General features: G+C 40.0%; 1 protein-coding gene across 9 annotated transcripts in view, besides 1 other annotated feature; it reads right to left on the reverse strand.

Moving 5' to 3' along the window:
- Positions 1-20,597, reverse strand: part of TRPC4AP (transient receptor potential cation channel subfamily C member 4 associated protein) — a 90,404-nt gene that overhangs the window by 66,075 nt on the left and 3,732 nt on the right. For all 9 annotated transcript variants that reach the window (XM_047440096.1, NM_199368.2, XM_047440095.1 and 6 more), the window contains exons 2-3: positions 9,568-9,696; positions 818-934 (exon numbers count right to left, since the gene is read on the reverse strand). In XM_047440096.1, coding sequence (XP_047296052.1) covers positions 818-934; positions 9,568-9,696 — 246 coding nt within the window. The remainder of the gene's footprint in view (positions 1-817; positions 935-9,567; positions 9,697-20,597) is intronic.
- Positions 1,860-2,029: an enhancer, noted in NCBI's record as "active region_17773". NCBI's record gives its function as "activates an Ori minimal core promoter by ATAC-STARR-seq in GM12878 lymphoblastoid cells {active_cell/tissue: GM12878}" and the evidence as "EXISTENCE:reporter gene assay evidence [ECO:0000049][PMID:35858748]".

A 20,597-nucleotide genomic window follows, 5' to 3' on the forward strand; every position in this document is an offset into this window, starting at 1 on the left:
TCAACTGGGGCCTGGGTAAATAAATTATGGCACAATCACACCAGGAAACACTAACCATTTAATTTTTTTTTGAGAGCTCATCACCCAGGCTAGAGTGCAGTGGTATGATCTTGGCTCACGGCAACCTCTGCCTCCCGGCTTCAAGCAATTCTCCTGCCTCAGCCTCCTGAGTAGCTGGGATTACAAGTGCCTGCCACCGTGCCCATCTAATTTTGGTATTTTTAGTAGAGACAGGGTTTCACCATCTTGGACAGGTTGGTCTCGAACTCCTGACCTCACGATCCACCTGCCTTGGCCTCCCAAAGTGCTGGGATTACAGGCGTGAGCCACTGCGCCCGGCCTAAAATTGTTTTAATTAAAAAAAAAAAAAGAAGAAGAAAGAAGGTACAGAATAGTGTAGCCGTGTATATGGTATATCACTCTATGTGCGGAGAAAATAAACTAAGGTGGAGGTGGTGGGGAATATTTACACACACACACACACACACACACACACACACAAAAAAAACAAAACATCTTAAGCAGGACACACAAGAAACTAGTAATCACAACTGGTTCTGAGGAGGGGACACTGGGAAATTTAGAGATGTACTTTTCACTTAGTATTTTTTTAAAAAGGTATACACCAATTTAAATAAATGAATTCTTCTGAAGTAAAAACTATGCTGCTTCAACATGTAAATGCCGCTAAGCTTCTAAAAGTTAAAATCTGAAATGTTATAAATTCTGAAATCTTTCCTATCTCCCATTTCAAAAGTTAAATTCCCAAACCATTAAGCAGTAGTAACAGCAGTAGTAATAATAAATAGCTACTTACATCAACACCTCCAAACAAGTCAAAAATGTAAGTATTTGGATAAGTGGTTTCTTGGGTAAGTTTCCTCTCTTCAGTAACAAATGCCATAGCCTCCATGGAGAGAAGAGGAGAAATTTCCTAGTTTTTTTAAAAAAAAGTACATACATTGTTTTAGTAACCAACACAGACCAGACACTAAAGCATCAGTTTGAGCTTTAGTCCCAACTGGAGTTCCCATGAACACAAAGACAGTCCCCAATGAACCACACTTCCTAGTATTCAGGCCCCTGTAAAGCCCCTTCTCACACTAAATCTGGGCTGGTATGACACACCTCAACTAACAGCATGTGGTAGAAGTGACACTAGGCCACTTCCAGCACAAGCCTTAAGAAAGCCAGGCTCACACCTGTAATCCCAGCACTTTGGGAGGCTAAGGTGGGCGGATTACTTGAGGCCAGGAGTTTGAGACCAGCCTGGCCAACATGGCAAAACCCCATCTCTACTAAAAGTACAAAAATTAGCCGGATGTGGTGCTACACACCTGTAATCCCAGCTACTCAGGAATTTGAAGTACAAGAAGCACTTGAGCCACGGAGGCAGACGTTGCAGTGAGCCAACATAGAGCCACTGCACTCCAGCCTCGGCAACAGAGGGAGACTCTGTCATTAAAAAAAAATAAAAAGCCTGACAGACTTCGCTCTTGCCATCCTGGAACCCAAACATCATGCTGTGAGAACACAGCCAATGGGGAGGCCATAAGGAGAAGAAATGAGGCCAAGAGCAACATCCTTAGTTGATCTCCAGCTGACAGCCAGCACCAACCTGCCAGGGATGTGAGAGAGACCATTTTGGACATTCCAGATATCTCAGTACCACCCTACCCAACAGCACATGAAGCAGAGGAGCCACTCAGTCAACCAAGAATTGTTGACAGATAAATGATTCTTGTTACTTCCGGCTGCTAGGTTTCGGGGTGACTAGTTCTGTAGCAATAACCAAGTCACTGCTCAAATATAATCTCCTGCAGGAAGTCTTCTTGATTTCCCCCAACCAGAAGCATGCTCTTCAGACCCCCAAAACAATCTACAACTCATTTGTAACATTTAGCACTTTTACTTTGCACCTATTTACAAACCATTTCTTTTTTTTTTTTTGAGAGGGAGTCTCGCTCTGCCACCCAGGCTGGAGTGCAGTGGCGCGATCTCGGCTCACTGCAAGCTCTGCCTCCCGGGTTCACGCCATTCTCCTGCCTCAGCCTCCCGAGTAGCTGGGACTACAGGCGCCCGCCACTGCGCCCGGCTAATTTTTTGTATTTTCAGTAGAGACGGGGTTTCACCGTGGTCTCCATCTCCTAACCTTGTGATCCACCCGCCTCGGCCTCCCAGAGTGCTGGGATTACAGGCGTGAGTCACTGCGCCCGGCCAAACCTATGTTATTTCTTCCCTAGACTAAACGTTCCTTGAGGACAACACAAACAGATCCCACTTTGTATTCCCCACAGATTCCAAGACAGAGTATTTGATACAGCACACATAGGGTAGTAGTTCTCAAACTGACGGCCACAGAATCCTTTGTTCATATGGAACAAAGCTAAGAGGAAAAAAAATCTTACAAGAAAACCTAAAACATAGTAAGTTTCAAATAAGTACTTACTTAATGAATAAAGAAATGATGATCACATAGCAAAGATATACAAATATTAATTTCCCTCCCCTTTAACTTCACCTCAATCTCCTGAGATTTTGCAAGAAGCAAATAATGTGCAACTCTTTGAAAAGCATTTTTAAACAAGTTTAAGAAGCTATAATTATTTCTATCAGACTGTGAGATTCAAAATATGAAAATGTCTCTTCTTAAACGTAAAGACTAAGTTTAATTAGTTTCTATTACATTTTAAAATAACTTACTATGTGATATAATAATCAAAACTTCACCTCTGAAGAACACTGTCATTCAGTTTCATTACGTTCAATATAACTTACATGGTTTTTATTTATTTATTTTTGCTGTTTTTTATTTTATTATACTTTAAGTTCTAGGGTACTTGTGCACAACATGCAGGTTTGTTACATATGTATACATGTGCCATGTTGGTGCGCTGTACCCATTAACTCGTCATTTATATTAGGTATATCTCCTAATGCTATCCCTCCCCCCTCCCCCCACCCCATGCCAGGCCCTGGTGTGTGACGTTCCCCACCCTGTGTCCAAGTGTTCTCATTGCTCAATTCCCACCTATGAGTGAGAACACACGGTGTTTGGTTTTCTGTCCTTAACGATAGTTTGCTCAGAATGATGGTTTCCAGATTCATCCATGTCCCTACAAAGGACATGAACTCATCATTTTTTATGGCTGCATAGTACTCCATGGTGTATATGTGCCACATTTTCTTAATCCAGCCTACCATTAAATGGACATTTGGGTTGGTTCCAAGTCTTTTGCTATTGTGAATAGTGCTGCAATAAATATACACGTGCATGTGTCTTTATAGCAGCATGATTTATAATCCTTTGGGTAAATACCCAGTAATGGGATGGCTGGGTCAAATGGTATTTCTAGTTCTAGATCCTTGAGGAATCGCCACACTGTCTTCCACAATGGTTGAACTAGTTTACAGTCCCACCAACAGTTTAAAAGTGTTCCTATTTCTCCACATCCTCTCCAGCACCTGTTGTTTCCTGACTTTTTAATAATCGCCATTCTAACTAGTGTGAGATGGTATCTCATTGTGGTTTTGATTTGCATTTCTCTGATGGCCAGTGATGATGAGCATTTTTTCCTGTGTCTGTTGGCTGCATAAACGTCTTCTTTTGAAAAGTGTCTGTTCATATCCTTCGCCCAGTTTTTGATGGGGCTGTTTGCTTTTTTCTTGTAAATTTAAGTTCTTTGTAGATTCTGGATATTAGCCCTTTGTCAGATGGGTAGATTGCAAAAATTTTCTCCCATTCCGTAGGTTGCCTGTTCACTCTGATGGTAGTTTCTTTTGCTATGCAGAAGCTCTTTAGTTTAATTAGATCCCATTTGCCAATTCTGGCTTTTGTTGCCATTGCTTTTGGTGTTTTAGTCATGAAGTCCTTGCCCGTGCCTATGGCCTGAATAGTATTGCCTAGATTTTCTTCTAGGGTTTTTATGGTTTTAGGTCTAACATTTAAGTCTTTAATCAATCTTGAATTAATTTTTGTATAAAGTGTAAGGAAAGGATCCAGTTTCAGCTTTCTACATGTGGCTAGCCAGTTTTCCCAGCACTATTTATTAAATAGGGAATCCTTTCCCCATTTCTTGCTTTTGTCAGGTTTGTCAAAGATCGGACAGTTGTAGATATGCGGCATTATTTCTGAGGGCTCTGTTCTGTTCCACTGGTCTATATCTCTGTTTTGGTAATAGTACCATGCTGTTTTGGTTACAGTAGCCTTGTAGTATAGTTTGAAGTCAGGTAGCGTGATGCCTCCAGCTTTGGTTCTTTTGGCTTAGGATTGTCTTGGCAATGTGGGCTCTTTTTTGGTTCCATATGAACTTTAAAGTAGTTTTTTCCAATTCTGTGAAGAAAGTAATTGGTAGCTTGATGGGGATGGCATTGAATCTATCAATTACCTCGGGCAATATGGCCATTTTCACAATATTGATTCTTCCTATTCATGAGCATGGGATGTTCTTCCATTTGTTTGTGTCCTCTTTTATTTCATTGAGCAGTGGTTTGTAGTTCTTCTTGAAGAGGTCCTTCACATCCCTTGTGAGTTGGATTCCTAAGTATTTTAGTCTCTTTGTAGCAATTGTGAATGGGAGTTCACTCATGATTTGGCTGTCTGTTATTGGTGTATAGGAATGCTTGCGACTTTTGCACATTGATTTTGTATCCTGAGACTTTGCTGAAGCTGCTCATCAGTTTAAGAGGATTTTGGGCTGAGACAATGGGGTTTTCTAAATATACAATCATGTCATCTGCAAACAGGGACAATTTGACTTCCTCTTTTCCTAATTGAATACCCTTTATTTCTTTCTCCTGCCTGACTTCCCTGGCCAAAACTTCCGACACTATGTTGAATAGGAGTGTGCTGAGAGAGGGCACCCCTGTCTTGTGCCAGTTTTCAAAGGGAATGCTTCCAGTTTTTGCCCATTCAGTATGATATTGGCTGTGGGTCTGTCATAAATAGCTCCTATTATTTTAAGATACGTCCCATCAATACCTAGTTTATTGAGAGTTTTCAGCATGAAGGGCTGTTGAATTTTGTCGAAGGCCTTTTCTGCACCTATTATCATGTGGTTTTTGTCTTTGGTTCTGTTTATATGATGGATTACGTTTATTGATTTGCATATGTTGAACCAGCCTTGTATCCCAGGGATGAAGCCAACTTGATCGTGGTGAATAAGCTTTTTGATGTGCTGCTGGATTTGGTTTGCCAGTATTTTATTGAGGATTTTTGCATTGATGTTCATCAGGGATATTGGTCTAAAATTCTCTTTTGTTATGTCTCTGCCAGGCTTTGGTATCAGGATGATGCTGGCCTCATAAAATGAGTTAGGGAGGATTCCCTCTTTTTCTATTGATTGGAATAGCTTCAGAAGGAATGGTACCAGCTCCTCTTTGTACCTCTGGTAGAATTCGGCTGTGAATCCGTCTGGTCCTGGACTTTTTTTGGTTGGTAGGCTATTAATTATTGCCTCAACTTCAGAGCCTGTTATTGGTCTATTCAGGGATTCATTCAACTTCTTCCCAGTTTAGTCTTGGGAGGGTGTATGTGTCCAGGAATTTATCCATTTCTTCTAGATTTTCTAGTTTATTTCCGTAGAGGTGTTTATAGTATTCTCTGATGGTAGTTTGTATTTCTGTGGGATTGGTGGTAATATCCCCTTTATCATTTTTTATTGCATCTATTTGATTCTTCTCTCTTTTCTTATTAGTCTTGCTAGCGGTCTTTCAATTTTGTTGATCTTTTCGAAAAACGAGCTTCTGGATTCATTGATTTTTTGAAGGGTTTTTTGTGTCTCTATATCCTTCAGTACTGCTCTGATCTTAGTTATTTCTCGCCTTCTGCTAGCTTTTGAATGTGTTTGCTCTTGCTTTTCTAGTTCTTTTAATTGTGATGTTAGGGTGTCAATTTTAGATCTTTCCGGCTTTCTCTTGTGTGCATTTAGTGCTATAAATTTCCCTCTACACACTGCTTTAAATGTGTCCCAGAGATCCTGGTATGTCATGTCTTTGTTCTCAATGGTTTCAAAGAACACCTTTATTTCTGCCTTCATTTCGTTATGTACCCAGCAGTCATTCAGGAGCAGGTTGTTCAGTTTCCACGTAGTTGAGTGGTTTTGAGTGAGTTTCTTAATCCTGAGTTCTAGTTTGATTGCACTGTTGTCTGAGAGACAGTTTGTTATAATTTCTGTTCTTTTACATTTACTAAGGAGTGCTTTACTTCCAACTATGTGGTCAATTTTGGAATAAGTGCGACGTGGCGCTGAGAAGAATGTATATTCTGTTGATTTGGGGTGGAGAGTTCTGTAGATGTCTATTAGGTCCGCTTGGTGCAGAGCTGAGTTCAATTCCTGGATATCCCTGTTAACTTTCTGTCTCGTTGATCTGTCTAATGTTGACAGTGGGGTGTTAAAGTCTCCCATTATTATTGTGTGGGAGTCTAAGTTTCTTTGTAGGACTTGCTTTATGAACCTGGGTGCTCCTGTATTGGGTACATACATATTTAGGATAGTTAACTCTTCTTGTTGAATTGATCCCTTTACCATTATGTAATGGCCTTGTCTCTTTTGATCTTTGTTGGTTTAAAGTCTGTTTTATCAGAGACTAGGATTGCAACCCCTGCTTTTTTTTTTGTTTTCCACTTGCTTGGTAGATCTTCCTCCATCCCTTTATTTTGAGCCTATGTGTGTCTCTGCATGTGAGATGGGTCTCCTGAATACAGCACGCTGATGGGTCTAGACTCTTTATCCAATTTGCCAGTCTGTCTTTTAACTGGAGCATTTAGCCCATTTACATTTAAGGTTAATTTTGTTATGTGTGAATTTGATCCTGTCATTATGATGTTAGCTGGTTATTTTGCTCATTAGTTGATGCAGTTTCTTCCTAGCATCGAAGGTCTTTACAATTTGGCATGTTTTTGCAGTAGTTGGTATCGGTTGTTCCTTTCCATGTTTAGCGCTTCCTTCAGGAGCTCTTGTAAGGCAGGCCTGGTGGTGACAAAATCTCTCAGCATTTGCTTGTCTGTAAAGGATTTTACTTCTCCTTCACTTATGAAGCTTAGTTTGGCTGGATATGAAACTCTGGGTTGAAAATTCTTTTCTTTAAGAATGTTGAATATTGGCCCCCACTCTCTTCTGGCTTGTAGAGTTTCTGCCAAGAGAACCGCTGTTAGTCTGATGGGCTTCCCTTTGTGGGTAACCCGACCTTTCTCTCTGGCTGCCCTTAATATTTTTTCCTTAATTTCAACTTTGGTGAATCTGACAATTATGTGTCTTGGAGTTCCTCTCCTCGAGGAGTATCTTTGTGGCGTTCTCTGTATTTCCTGAATTTGAATGTTGACCTGCCTTGCTAGATTGGGGAAGTTCTCCTGGATAATATCCTGAAGAGTGTTTTCCAACTTGGTTCCATTCTCCCCGTCACTTTCAGGTACACCAATCAGACGTAGATTTGGTCTTTTCACACAGTCCCATATTTCTTGGAGGCTTTGTTTGTTTCTTTTTATTCTTTTTTCTCTAAACTTCTCTTCTCGCTTCATTTCATTCATTTGATCTTCAATCACTGATACCCTTTCTTCCACTTGATCGAATTGGCTACTGAAGCTTGTGCATGCGTCACGTAGTTTTCGAGCCATGGTGTTCAGCTCCATCAGGTCATTTAAGGTCTTTTCTATGCTGTTTATTCTAGTTAGCCATTCGTCTAATCTTTTGTCAAGGTTTTTAGCTTCTTTATGATGGGTTCAAACATCCTCCTTTAGCTCGGAGAAGTTTGTTATTACTGATCATCTGAAGCCTTCTCTCAACTCATCAAAGTCATTCTCCATCCAGCTTTGTTCCGTTGCTGGTGAGGAGCTGTGTTCCTTTGGAGGAGAAGAGGCGCTCTGATTTTTAGAATTTTCAGCTTTTCTGCTCTGGTTTCTCCCTATCTTTGTGGTTTTATCTACCTTTGGTCTTTGATGATGGTGACATACAGATGGGGTTTTGGTGTGGATGTCCTTTCTGTTTGTTAGTTTTCCTTCTAACAGTCAGGACCCTCAGCTGCAGGTCTGTCAGAGTTTGCTGGAGGTCCACTCCAGACCCTGTTTGTCTGGGTATCACCAGCAGAGGCTGCAGAACAGCAAATATTGCAGAACGGCAAATGCTGCTGCCTGATCCTTTCTCTGGAAGCTTCATCTCAGAGGGGCACCCGGCTGTATGAGGTGTCAGTCGGCCCCTACTGGGAGGTGTCTCCCAGTTAGGCTACTCAGGGGTCAGGGACCCACTTGAGGAGGCAGTCTGTCTGTTCTCAGATCTCAAACTCTGTGCTGGGAGAACCACTACTCTCTTCAAAGCTGTCAGACAGGGACATTTAAACCTGCAGAAGTTTCTGCTGCCTTTTGTTCAGCTATGCCCTGCTCCCAGAGGTGGAGTCTACAGAGGCAGGCAGGTCTCCTTGAGCTGCGGTGGGCTCCACTCAGTTCGAGCTTCCCGGCCGCTTTGTTTACCTACGCAAGTCTCAGCAGTTGTGGACACCCCTCCCCCTGCTTTGCTGCCACCTTGCAGTTTGATCTCAGACTGCTGTGCTAGCAGTGAGCAAGGCTCCGTGGGCATGGGACCCTCCAAGCCAGGCGCAGGATATAATCTCCTGCTGTGCCATTTGCTAAGGCCGTTGGAAAAGTGCAGTTATTAGGGTGGGAGTGTCCCGATTTTCTGGGTACCATCTGTCATGGCTTCCCTTGGCTAGGAAAGGGAATTCCCCCACCCCTTGCGACTCCCAGGTGAGGCAATGCCCCGCCCTGCTTCAGCTCACACTCCGTGGACTGCACCCACTGTCTGACAAGCCCCAGTGAGATGAACCCGGTACCTCAGTTGGAAATGCAAAAATCACCTGTCTTAGGCATCGCTCATGCTGGGTACCATAGACTGGAGCTGTTCCTATTTGGCCATCCTGGAACCGGACCCCCACTTACATGGGTTTTAACTGCATTAGAGCTGGTGCTCTAAATTCAAATTTAGATCCAAACTACAGCTAAAGTTTAGATACTCCAGCCCTACTGAATCAGAATTTCAGGGGTGGGGCCCAGAACTCTGTGTTTTAACACGCTCTTCAGGTGATTCATAAACACACTCCAGTTTGAGAACAATTATCCTAGCATAATGTCTCCGTGCTCTTTCCACTCATTTCCCAATCATCAAACCTGGCCCCTTCAATCTTCTTACGTTAGTAATAATATTCAACAACCATAAGGCCTCTTCCACGAGCCTTCAGCAGTATGTAATCTTCTAAACCCTTTTCAAAAAGAATGTCATCCCAATCACAGGATAGTGTTGACCTCCCAAAATTAAGCAAGCACTGCCACAAAATAAACACACATAGAGCCCAAAAGGATAACACAGGGAACCTAATGGTGATTATCTTGGGATGATGGGATTATAGGTGATGTATATTTTCTTCTTTGTACTTTTTCTGAATTTCTCAAATTTTCTATAGCTCACACAGTAAAAACAGGCTATTTTTAAAAGCCAACGGAAGGGAAAAAAAAAACAGCAGACATCTTGTGTCACCTAGAGGCCCTGAATACGCCCCTCCAAGGTCCTTAAGAGTTACCTTGAGGATGTTTTGACACTCAACAAAGTCACTGTGGAGGTGGCTGGTGGTGTGCAGCTTGAGGAGCAGCTGAGGAATTCCACTCCACTTGGATTGTTTGTCCCTCTCCGTCAAAAAAGTCTCAGTGAACTGTGAGTCAAAAAAAGAGAGAACATATTATTGTATTATTGATGATAATAGCTGATACGGCAAAGGAGAGCAGCCGACTTCCAAACCCACCCAGGACAGTTACAAATTTATCTCTAAGCACTACTATAAAAAGCCTCTTTCTATAAATCTTCAAAACCTCCCCAACAGCCTATTACTATGTTATAATAAGAAGGAGGGATTGGAAATACTCTTGTACCACTCACAAACAGCACAATATCATTGAGAGTGGACTTAGACTCGTCGTAAATATATACTGGAAATTCTAGGGCAACTGCTAAAAGTATTTTTACAAGAAGAATAATTGATATGCTAAGAGATGAAAAATAATGGAACCATATAAACTGCTCAGTTAAGCCCATAAAAGGCAGAAAAAGAGGGGAAGACAAAGAACAAGTATAATAAAACAAACATGGTATACATTAATCCAACTATATCAATAATCACTGTAAATATCTATGAATGGTCTAAACTTACCAATCAAAGGAAAGAGACTAAAAGAATGGATTTAAAAAACCAAGATCCAACAATATGCTGTCTACAAGAAACTCATTTAAATATACATATAGATAGGTTAAAAGTAAGGGAAAAGGCCAGGCACGGTGGCTCACACCTGTAATCCCAACACTTTGGGAAGCCGAGGCAGGTGGATCACCTGAAGTCAGGAGTTTGAGACCAGCCTGGCTAACGTGATAAAACCCCATCTCTACTAAAAATACAAAAATTAGCTGAGTGTGGTGGCAAGTGCCTGTAATCCCAGCTACTCGGGAGGCTGAGGCAGGAGAACCGCTTGAACTCGGGAGGCAGAGGTTGCAGTGAGCCAAGATCGCGCCATGGCACCCCAGCCTGGGCGACAGACCAAAACTCTGTCTCAAAAAATAGAAAAGGGGATGGAGAAAGATAAATCACATAAAAAGAAAGATGGAGTAGTTATATTAATTTCAGAGAAAGCAGGCTTCATAAAAAAATTATCAGAAATAAAGTGGGTCATTTCATAATGACAAAGGGGTTAATTCTCCAAGAAGACATAACAATCCTTATCATATATGCACCTAACAACAGCATGTCAAAATATGAGGCAAAAACTGCCTAAAAGAACTGCCAGACAAAAAAATGGCAAATCAACTCTTACAGTTAAAATATTTTAAACTAAATGAAAATATAACTTATCAAAATTTGTGGGATGCAGCGAAAGCAGTAATAAGCCAGAAGTGTATATCACTGAATGCATATAATAGAAAAGAAGAAATATCTATAGTCAATAATCTAAGCTTCTACCTTAGTAAACTACAGAAAGAGCAGTTTAAGCCTACAGCAAACAGAAGAAAAAAATAAAAATGAGAGCAAACATCACTGAAATTGAAAACAAAAAATCAAGAGAGAAAACAAAACCAAAAGTTAGTTCTTTAAAAAGATCAATACGATTGATAAACTCTAACCAGGCTTATCAAGAAAAAAAGACAGAAACACAAATTACTAATATGTGGTACATAAGAGGAGTTATTATTACTGACTCCATGGACTTCGAAGGATGATAAAGGAGTATTATGAACCGTTTGCCCCAATATTTGCCTAGCACTTTGGGAGGCTAAGGCGGGAGGATTGCTTCAGCTCAGGAGTTCAAGACCAGCCTGAGCAACATAGCGAGAGCTCGCCTCTACTAAAAATAAAAAAAAAAAATAAGCCAAGGGTGGTGGTGCACACCTCTGGTCTCAGCTACTCAGAAGGATGAGGTGAGAAGATCACTTGAGCTTGGGAGAATGAGGCGGCAGTGAGCTATGACAGCACCACTGCACTCCAGCCTGGGTGACAGAGCAAGATAAAAAAAAAAAAAAAAAAAGACATCATTATAACCAAAGAGTGAAACAACTCAAATGTCCATCAACTGATGAATAAATAAAATATAGTATATCCATCCAATGGAATATTATTCAGCAAAAAAAGTAATGATGTACTGATACTACAACAAGGATAAATCTTGAGACCATTATGCTAAATCAAAGAAGCCAGTGTCTAACTGGGCACAGTGTCTCATGCCTCTGATGCCAAAGTAATCCCAGCACTTTGGGAGGCCAAGGTGGACAGATCACTTGAGCTCACAAGTACAAGACCAGCCTGAGCAACATGGCGAAACCCCACCTCTACAAAAAAAAAAAAAATTAGCCGGATGTAGTGGCACATGCCTGTAGTCCCAGCTACTCGGGAGGCTGAGGTGGGAGAATGGCTTGAGCCCAGGAGGCAGAGGTTGCAGTGAGCCAAGACTGCGCCACTGCACTTCAGCCTGGGCGATAAAGCCAGACCTTGTCTCAAAACAGAAACAAAAACAAAGCGAGACTCCATCTAAAAAAAAAAAAAAAAAAAAAACCTAAAAGAAGCCAGTCTCAAAAGGCCATATATTGTCTGATTCTATTAATTTAAAATGTCCAGAATAAGCATATCCAGAGACAGAAAGATCACTGGTTGGCAAAGGCTGTGGGGATGGGGAAACTGGGGAGTAACTGCTACTGAATACCAGGTTTCTTTTTTGGGTGATAAAATATTCTAAAATTGATCGTGATGATAGATGCATAACTTTGTGCATACAGTAAAAACCACTGACTTGTACACTTCAGTTTTTTTTTTTTTTACCCTTTTATCTCCTTAGTTTACCAACTTGTACACTTTAAAAGGGTGACTTGTGCAATATGTGAATTACATCTCAATAAAGCTGCTATAAAAACTAAATAAATAAATGAACATAAGTGAACTTTTTAGGATGACAATGTTCTAAAACCAGATTGTGGTGATGGTTGCATAACTTCATCAATTTGCTGAAAATCACTGAACTGTACACTTACAATGGGTAAATTTTATTGTATATAAATCATGCCTCAATAAAGTTGTTTAAGAAATATTTAAAAGAAGAAAGAAGAGAAAAGGGAACAAAGGATAGGACATTAAAAAAGCATATATTGTATTAAGCAAGTATAAACACCAAAATGTCAGTTATTACATTAAATCTAAATATGCTAAAATGCTCCAATTAAAAACAAAGTTTGGGCCGGTTACAGGGCCTCATGCATGTTACTGCAGCACTTTGGGAGGCAGAGACAGACAGATCACTTGAGCCCAGGAGTTAAAGACCAGCCTAGGCAACACAGTGAAACCCTGTCTCTACCAAAGGAAAAAAAAAAAAATTAGGCATGGCAGCATGTGCCTGTAATCCCAGTTACTCAGGTAGCTGAGGCAGGAGGATCCCTTGATGCTAGGAGGCCGAGACTGCAGTGACCTGTGATCTGGTACCATACTCCAGCCCGGGCAACAGAATGCAACCCTGTCTCAAAAAATAAATAGAAAATAAAATAAAATAAAAATAAAATAAAATAAAATAAAAACAAAGTTTGTTATGCCACCTACCAGAGAAACAGAAAGGCTAAAAGTAAAAGAATGGGAAATAATACTCAATGTAAACATATACCAAAAGGTAGTATAACTATATTAAAATCAGCAAGAGCAAAGAAAAAGCATTACCAAGCCAGGCATGGTGGCTCACACCTCTAATCCCAGCACTCTGGGAGACCGAGACAGGTAGATCACTTAGGTCAGGAGTTCAAGACCAGACTGGCCAACATGATGAAACCCTGTCTCCACTAAAAATGCAAAATTAGCTGGGCATGGTGGCACAGGCCTGTAATCCCAGTTACTCGAGAGGCTGAGGCAGGAGAATTGCTTGAACCCAGGAGGTGGAGGTTGCAGTGAGCCAAGAATGCACCATTGCACTCCAGCCTGGGTGACAGAGTGAGACTCTGTCTCAAAAACAAAACAAAACAAAAACAACAACAACAACAAAGTACTACCAGAGATAGGCACTTTAATAAGGATAAAAATGGCAAACTGGATAATGTTAATGATCCTAAATTTGAAAATATCTAATAAAAACTTCAACATACATAAAGCAAAAACTGACAAGGCTAAAAGGAGAAATAAGGAAATCCATAATCATAATGGGAGATTTTACACATCTCTTTCAAAAACTGATATATGCAGACAAAAATTAGTGAGAATACAGAATATTTTAACACAATTAAACAAAATGGACACACCTCGAGCAGTATATCTAGTAAATGCACTCTACATGTCCTTTACAAATACAAATAGAACATTTGCAAAATGACCAGCTGCTAGGCCATACTGCAAATGTCAATACATTTAAATGAACTGAAATACAGACTATGTTCCACATCAGAAAGATAGTTATAAAATCCCCATGTTTGGAAAATAATATACTTCTCAAAAATGCATGGGTCAAAGAAGAAATCGAAGTGGATATATGAAAATATCCTGAAAGATAATGAAAATACTACACATCCAAACTGATGAGGTACAACTAAAGCCATGCTTACTGACCATTATAACCCTGATACCAAAACCTGTCAAAAGGAAAACTGCAGGCCAGTTTCACTAACGACGATGTAAGGGAAAAACCACAATTCAAAAATTGAATTAAATTTAAAATTTGTATCAGAAATTAAAAGTTGGTTTAATATTTGAAAATTTTATTCAATGCAATTCACCACATTGATAACATAAAGGAGAATAATTATTTGATAACATAAAGGAGAATAATGATATGAATACCTCAATTGATACAGAAAAAGCATTTGATAAAATTTAACATCCATTCATGATAAACTCAAATAAAAAAATGAATTTCTAGTAACAGGTATCCACAGAAAACCCACTGCAAACATCATACTTAATGGCAAAATGTTTAAGGTTTTTTCCCTCTTAGATCAGGAACATGCTACTTCTATTCATCATACTGGAGGTCTCAGGCAGCAGAGTAAGGCAAGATATATAGAAGACATAAGATTGGTAAGGGTAAGATAAAAGATTCATTTGCAGATGATATAATATTCACAGATGACTGTACAGTATACAATCCAAAAGAACCTAAATGTAAATTATCAACTATTACAGCAATATACATGAATAATATAAAAATCTATCTTATTTTTATATTACAGCTACAATTTTTAAATGCAGTTTTAAAAACACTACTTACAATACCACTTTTAAAAACGCTAAGGAATAAATCTAACAAAGTTATGCAAGACGGCTACATAGAAAACTGTAACACACTCTTGGCTGGGCACAGTGGTTCACACTTGTAATCCCAGCACTTTGGGAGGCTAAGGTGGGCAGATCACCTGAGATCAAGAGTTTGAGTCTAGCCTGACCAACATGGTGAAACCCCATCTCTACTAAAAATACCAAAAAAAAAAAAATTAGCTGGGCGTGATGGTGGGCGCCTGTAATCCCAGCTACTAGGGGAGGCTGAGGCAGGAGAATCGCTTGAACCTGGGAGGCGGAGGTTGCAGAAAGCTGAGATGGTGCCACTGCACTACAATCTGGGAGACAGAGCGAGACTCCATCTCAAAAAAAAAAAAAATTACAGGAAAATAACTTCCAATTTATACTTCTATACCCAGTCAAACTAAATATATGTGTCAGAATAAGACATTTTCTGATCTGCAAGCTTTAAAAAAAAAAAAAAAGTTACCTCCCATGTACTCTTTCTTGGGAGGCTACCAGAGAGTGTGCCCCAGGAAAAAGGAAGACAATTGAGGAAACAAGGTCTAAAACATGAGAAAAGAAAGAAAAATGCTCTGGATTTGGTGAAGAGAAGTCCCAAGAACTCAGCTGTATAGCAGACCTAGTAAGCAGCTAAACTAAACTGCTAAACTGCTAAACTGCAGTAGGGGAATGAAGGGCTTCAAATGATTTCTTTAAAAAAAAAAAAAAGTTTTAGAATTTAGGAACAAATTATAAGTATACAGAAAGCAGGCCGGGCGCGGTGGCTCACACCTGTAATCCCAGCACTTTGGGAGGCCGAGGTGGGTGGATTACCTGAGGTCAGGAGTTCGAGACCAGCCTGGCCAACATAGTGAAACCCCATCTCTACTAAAAATACAAAAAAATTAGCCAGACTTGGTGGCGGGCACCTGTAATCCCAGCTACTCGGGGGGCATAGGTTGCAGGGAGCCGAGATTGCGCCATTCCACTCCAGCCGGGCAACAGTGCGAGACTCCGTCCCAAAAAAAAAAAAGGTATACACAAGGCAAAACAATTTAAAAGGATGCATTATACCTGACTTCACCACCATGCGATACACCAATGTAGCAAAATTTCACTTGTACCCCATTAATACAAATTTAAAAACAGTAAAATAAATTAAAGGATGCACTATTATGCTAATGAAAGTCAAAAGGGTATATGTATATATGTGTGTATATATGTATATATGTGTATATATGTATATATCTATATATGTATATACGTATATATGTGTATATATGTATATATGTATATGTATATATGTTTATATGCATATATGTGTATATGTATATATGTTTATATGCATATATGTGTATATGTATATATGTTTATATGCATATATGTGTATATGTATGTATGTTTATATGCATATATGTGTATATGTATATATGTTTATATGCATATATGTGTATATGTATATATGTTTATATGCATATATGTGTATATGTATATATGTTTATATGCATATATATGTATATGTATATATATACAGGGTATATGTATATTTATCCTTCAATTTAAAAAATGGAAGAGGACTGTTTTTAACACTACAAAAAAATTATATAAAACAAATATAATTGTACAATATATGGCCCTGCTGTAAATAATAATGCTAACATCATAATGTAAATACTTAACAACAGCCAAAGCTGTGATATAACTACATTGGTAGACTAGTGGAGACGAGTAAGAAGGAATCGAATGTGTGAATTAAATCCTAGTCTTTCAAGAGCGAAGAAAATAGATAGTATCTAAAAGTGAAAAGAAACAGCTTTATAACCATGTTATTTAGAAATACTGGCTCTCCTGTTTCCTGGATCCTTCTCTTGCAAAAGAAATAGCTAAGTATGGACACTGAACAGCATTAGGAGTATGGAACTTAGAGGTGCAAAGCAGGCAGGGCACTGCTGTTTTTTTGTTACAAGCTCCATGATACGCAGAGATCTAATCACAGTCCAAATATTTGACTTCACAAGCAATTTCTTTACTATTTATACATTGTCTTACAAGGCATGTACTCTCATTTAAAAATAATAATTTGGGGCTGGGCACAGCGGCTTACACTCATATCCTAGCACTTGGGAGGCCAAGGTAGGCCCATTGCTTGATCCCAGGAGTTTAAGACCAGCCTGGGCAACATGGCAGAACCTTATCTCTACAAAAAAATACAAAAATGAGCTGCGTATGGTGGCATGCGCCTATAGTCCCAGATACTCGGGAGGCTGAGGTGGGAGGATTGCTTGAGCCCAGGAGGCGGAGGTTTCAGTAGTTTTTTTTCACCACTACACTCCAGCCTGGGCAACAGAGCAAGACCCTGTCTAAAAAAAAAAAAAAAAATCATTAGAATTTTGTTTTCCTTGTGAACAGCTCAGCACTGTGACAAAAGTGCCACCATTCAGTCATCTTCCCAGTTGAATTACTGGCAGGTATCACATGGGTTTTCTCTTGAAGTACTTGTGGTTTAACAGTTTACAGCAGTGATAATCTCTTACATCATACCCTCTAAACTGTCAACCTGTTTAGCAAATATGACATTTCTAGACATTTACAGTTTCCACTGATTTTATTGTTTTTAAAAATAACTAAAGGCTAAATTCCATGAAGATAACTGTGCATCTTATTTGTTTCTTTAATCCTAAATGTAAGACATCTAATGCCTCAAAATACCACACTAAATGCAAGGGTCTCGCGCAATCTCACTGCAACCTCCGTCTCCTGGGCTCAAGTGATCCTCCCACCTCAGCCCTGCCCCCTTCCCCCTCCCAGCCCCCCACACCACCACCACTGCCACCAAGTAGCTGGGATTACAGGCACGCACCACCACGCCCGGATAATTTTTTGTATTTTTAGTAAAGATGGAGTTTCACCCATCTTGCCCAGGTTGGTCTTGAACTCCTGAGCTTAAAGAATCCGTCTAGCTCGGCCTCCCAAAGTGCTAGAATTACAGGTGTGAGCCACCGCACCCAGCCTAAATAGATATCTTAAAGGATAATAAAGATAAAATACCTTGTTGGGTTATTCTGACAATACATGTTAACCACTGAATACTTTTGTGTCCTTTAATGGGGTATGATTCAGTAAAATTAGGAGCAAATTTAAGGGCTTGTGAATACGAAAACTTCCCATTGAAATGAATGGCATATGTGTGTGTGTGTGTGTGTGTGTGTGTGTGTGTGTGTGTGTGTGTATGTGTGTGTATATATATATGTGTATATATATGTGTGTGTGTGTATATATGTGTGTGTGTGTGTGTGTGTGTGTGTGTGTGTGTGTGTGTGTGTGTGTGTATATATATATGAATAAGACTTTATCCTAATCAGGAGTTTTTCAGTATCAAATTACCTTTGAAAAGCCAGGTAAGATTTGTTTGACTTAAATGCCTAGGTTTCATAAATACTAATGGTTAGAATGAGGCTAAAACAAGTAGTGCCTAATGAAATTTTTTTTAAAAGTTAGTGAATCTGGCTGGGCACGGCGACTCACATCTGTAATCCCAGCACTTTGGGAGGCTGAGGTGGGTGGATCAAGAGATCAAGAGTTTGAGACCAGCCTAGCCAGCATGGTGAAACCCTGTCTTTACTAAAAATACAAAAAGTAGCCGGGCATGGTGGCACATGCCTATAGTCCCAGCTACTCAGGAGGCTGAGGCAGGGGAATCGCTTGAACCCGGGAAGCGGAGGTTGCAGTGAGCCGAGACTGTGCACTGCACTCCAGCCTGGGCAACAGCACGAGACTCCATCTCACAAAAAAAAGAAGTCAGCCAGGCGCAGTGGCTCACACCTGTAATCCCAGCACCTTGGGAGGCCGAGGTGGGCGGATCATGAGGTCAGGAGATCGAGACCATCCTGGCTAACACGGTGAAACCCCGTCTCTACTAAAAATACAAAAAAAAAAAAAAAATTAGCCAGGCGTGGTGGCGGGCACCTGTAGTCCCAGCTACTCGGGAGGCTGAGGCAGGAGAATGGCATGAACCTGGGAGGCGGAGCTTGCAGTGAGCTGAGATTGCACCATTGCCCTCCAGCCTGGGCAACAGAGCGAGACTCCATCTCAAAAAAAAAAAAAAAGTCAGTGAATCTAAAGAAAAAATATAAAGTAAGGAACACTCAGGGGCATTTAGATATGCCAATAATCATAAAGGAAGCAACGACTGCCATGTGGGAAATATAACAGCATCCCACAACCCAGTCTGTCACCAGATTGCCAAACTGAAGGGCATCCAGGGATGGCGGGTCATGACCTGTAATGTGAGCTGCACTATCCTAGAGCCCAGCGTTTACTCAGTCTATCCTTTCCTTCAACTCGTACTGATCATTTGGGGCCTTGTACGCCCATGGTAAGGAATCCAGAATTGATTCTATCAACTGCAATGAGATGAGGCTGGAGAGTTTTAAGCAAAGGATTTATAAGATCTGATTTGCATTAAGCATCAAATGTGCTGATGAATATGAAAAGGCTCAGTAAACTCCAAAGTATCACCCCAGCATATTTTATTGCCTTGACAGAGGGCAGAACAAAACGAAGGGAAGAAAATAAAGCAAACTAAAATCCAAGTAGAATTGACCCATTACAAATTATGTGGCCAGTAGTCATGACTCAGGCTTCCCTTATGCCCCATTTAGGGAGATGGAGAAGATCAGGTCTGATGGAAAAGGGAGAGGATTTTGGCTTTCGACATACTAAGTTTGAGATGCCCATTAGACATCAAAGTGGAAATGCTAGAAGGCAATTGGATATACCTACCCATCCAGAGCTAAAAGGAGAAACACGAATGGAAACAGAAACTTAGGATCCGTCAGCGTATAGAGCAGTTATTAATAACAATACAAGCTAATCTTTATAGCAGTAAGCTATGTACTTATAGCTGAGAAAGTATGTTTCAGTCACTATTTTAAGTGCTTTATATGTACAACTCACTTGGTCCTCACCACAACCTTGGAAGGTCAGGTCCTATGATACTTACTTTACAAATAAATAAACTGAGGCATAAACAGATTAAATAACTTGCCTAAAGACACATAGTAAGTAAATACCAGAGCTAGGTTTCAAACCTAGGTAATCTGACTCTGGAACTCTTTAAAGCCATGAGATTGCTTGGCAAGTACAGACAGAAATTAGACTGAGGACACAGTATTTCAATTTAAGCAATTTCCTGAATATCAAATGGCTGGCAAGGTTTCAGGCTCTGCAGATACAATGAAAAATAAGACACAGTCTCTTCAGGAAGCCCAGTCTAATTAACTACTAGCTGAGAGCAACTATTTACTAAACAACTATTCCTATATGCCACACTGGCTACGCTTTTAAAACATATTATTTCACTTAATCCTCCTAACAACTTTATGGGATAGATGTTATCATCACCTCTTTAGAAATAAGGAAACTGAAGTTAAGAGAGGTTAAATAACTTAATCTTGGTCACCCTGCTAGGATTCAATTCAGGTCCACCTTACTTTAAAATCTGATTTTTTTTTCCAAGGAAATTCCATCACATGCTATACCACAGATGATCCTTGAGGACATTATGTTAAGTAAAATAAGCCAGTCACAAAAAGACAAATACTGTATTACTATACTGGGGTTATCTAAAGTAGTCAAACTCACAAAAACAGAAAGGAGAAGAATGGTTACCAAGGACTGGGAGGGAGAAATGGGAAGTTGTTCAATGGTAGTTTCAGATTTGCAAGATGAAAAAGTTCTGGAAATCTGTTTCACAACAATGGGAATATACTTCACATTACTTAACTATACACCTTTTTTTTTTAAGATACAGGGTTTCACCATGTTGC

This window comes from Homo sapiens, chromosome 20 (assembly GCF_000001405.40).
Source record: "Homo sapiens chromosome 20, GRCh38.p14 Primary Assembly".
Taxonomy (NCBI): domain Eukaryota; kingdom Metazoa; phylum Chordata; class Mammalia; order Primates; family Hominidae; genus Homo; species Homo sapiens.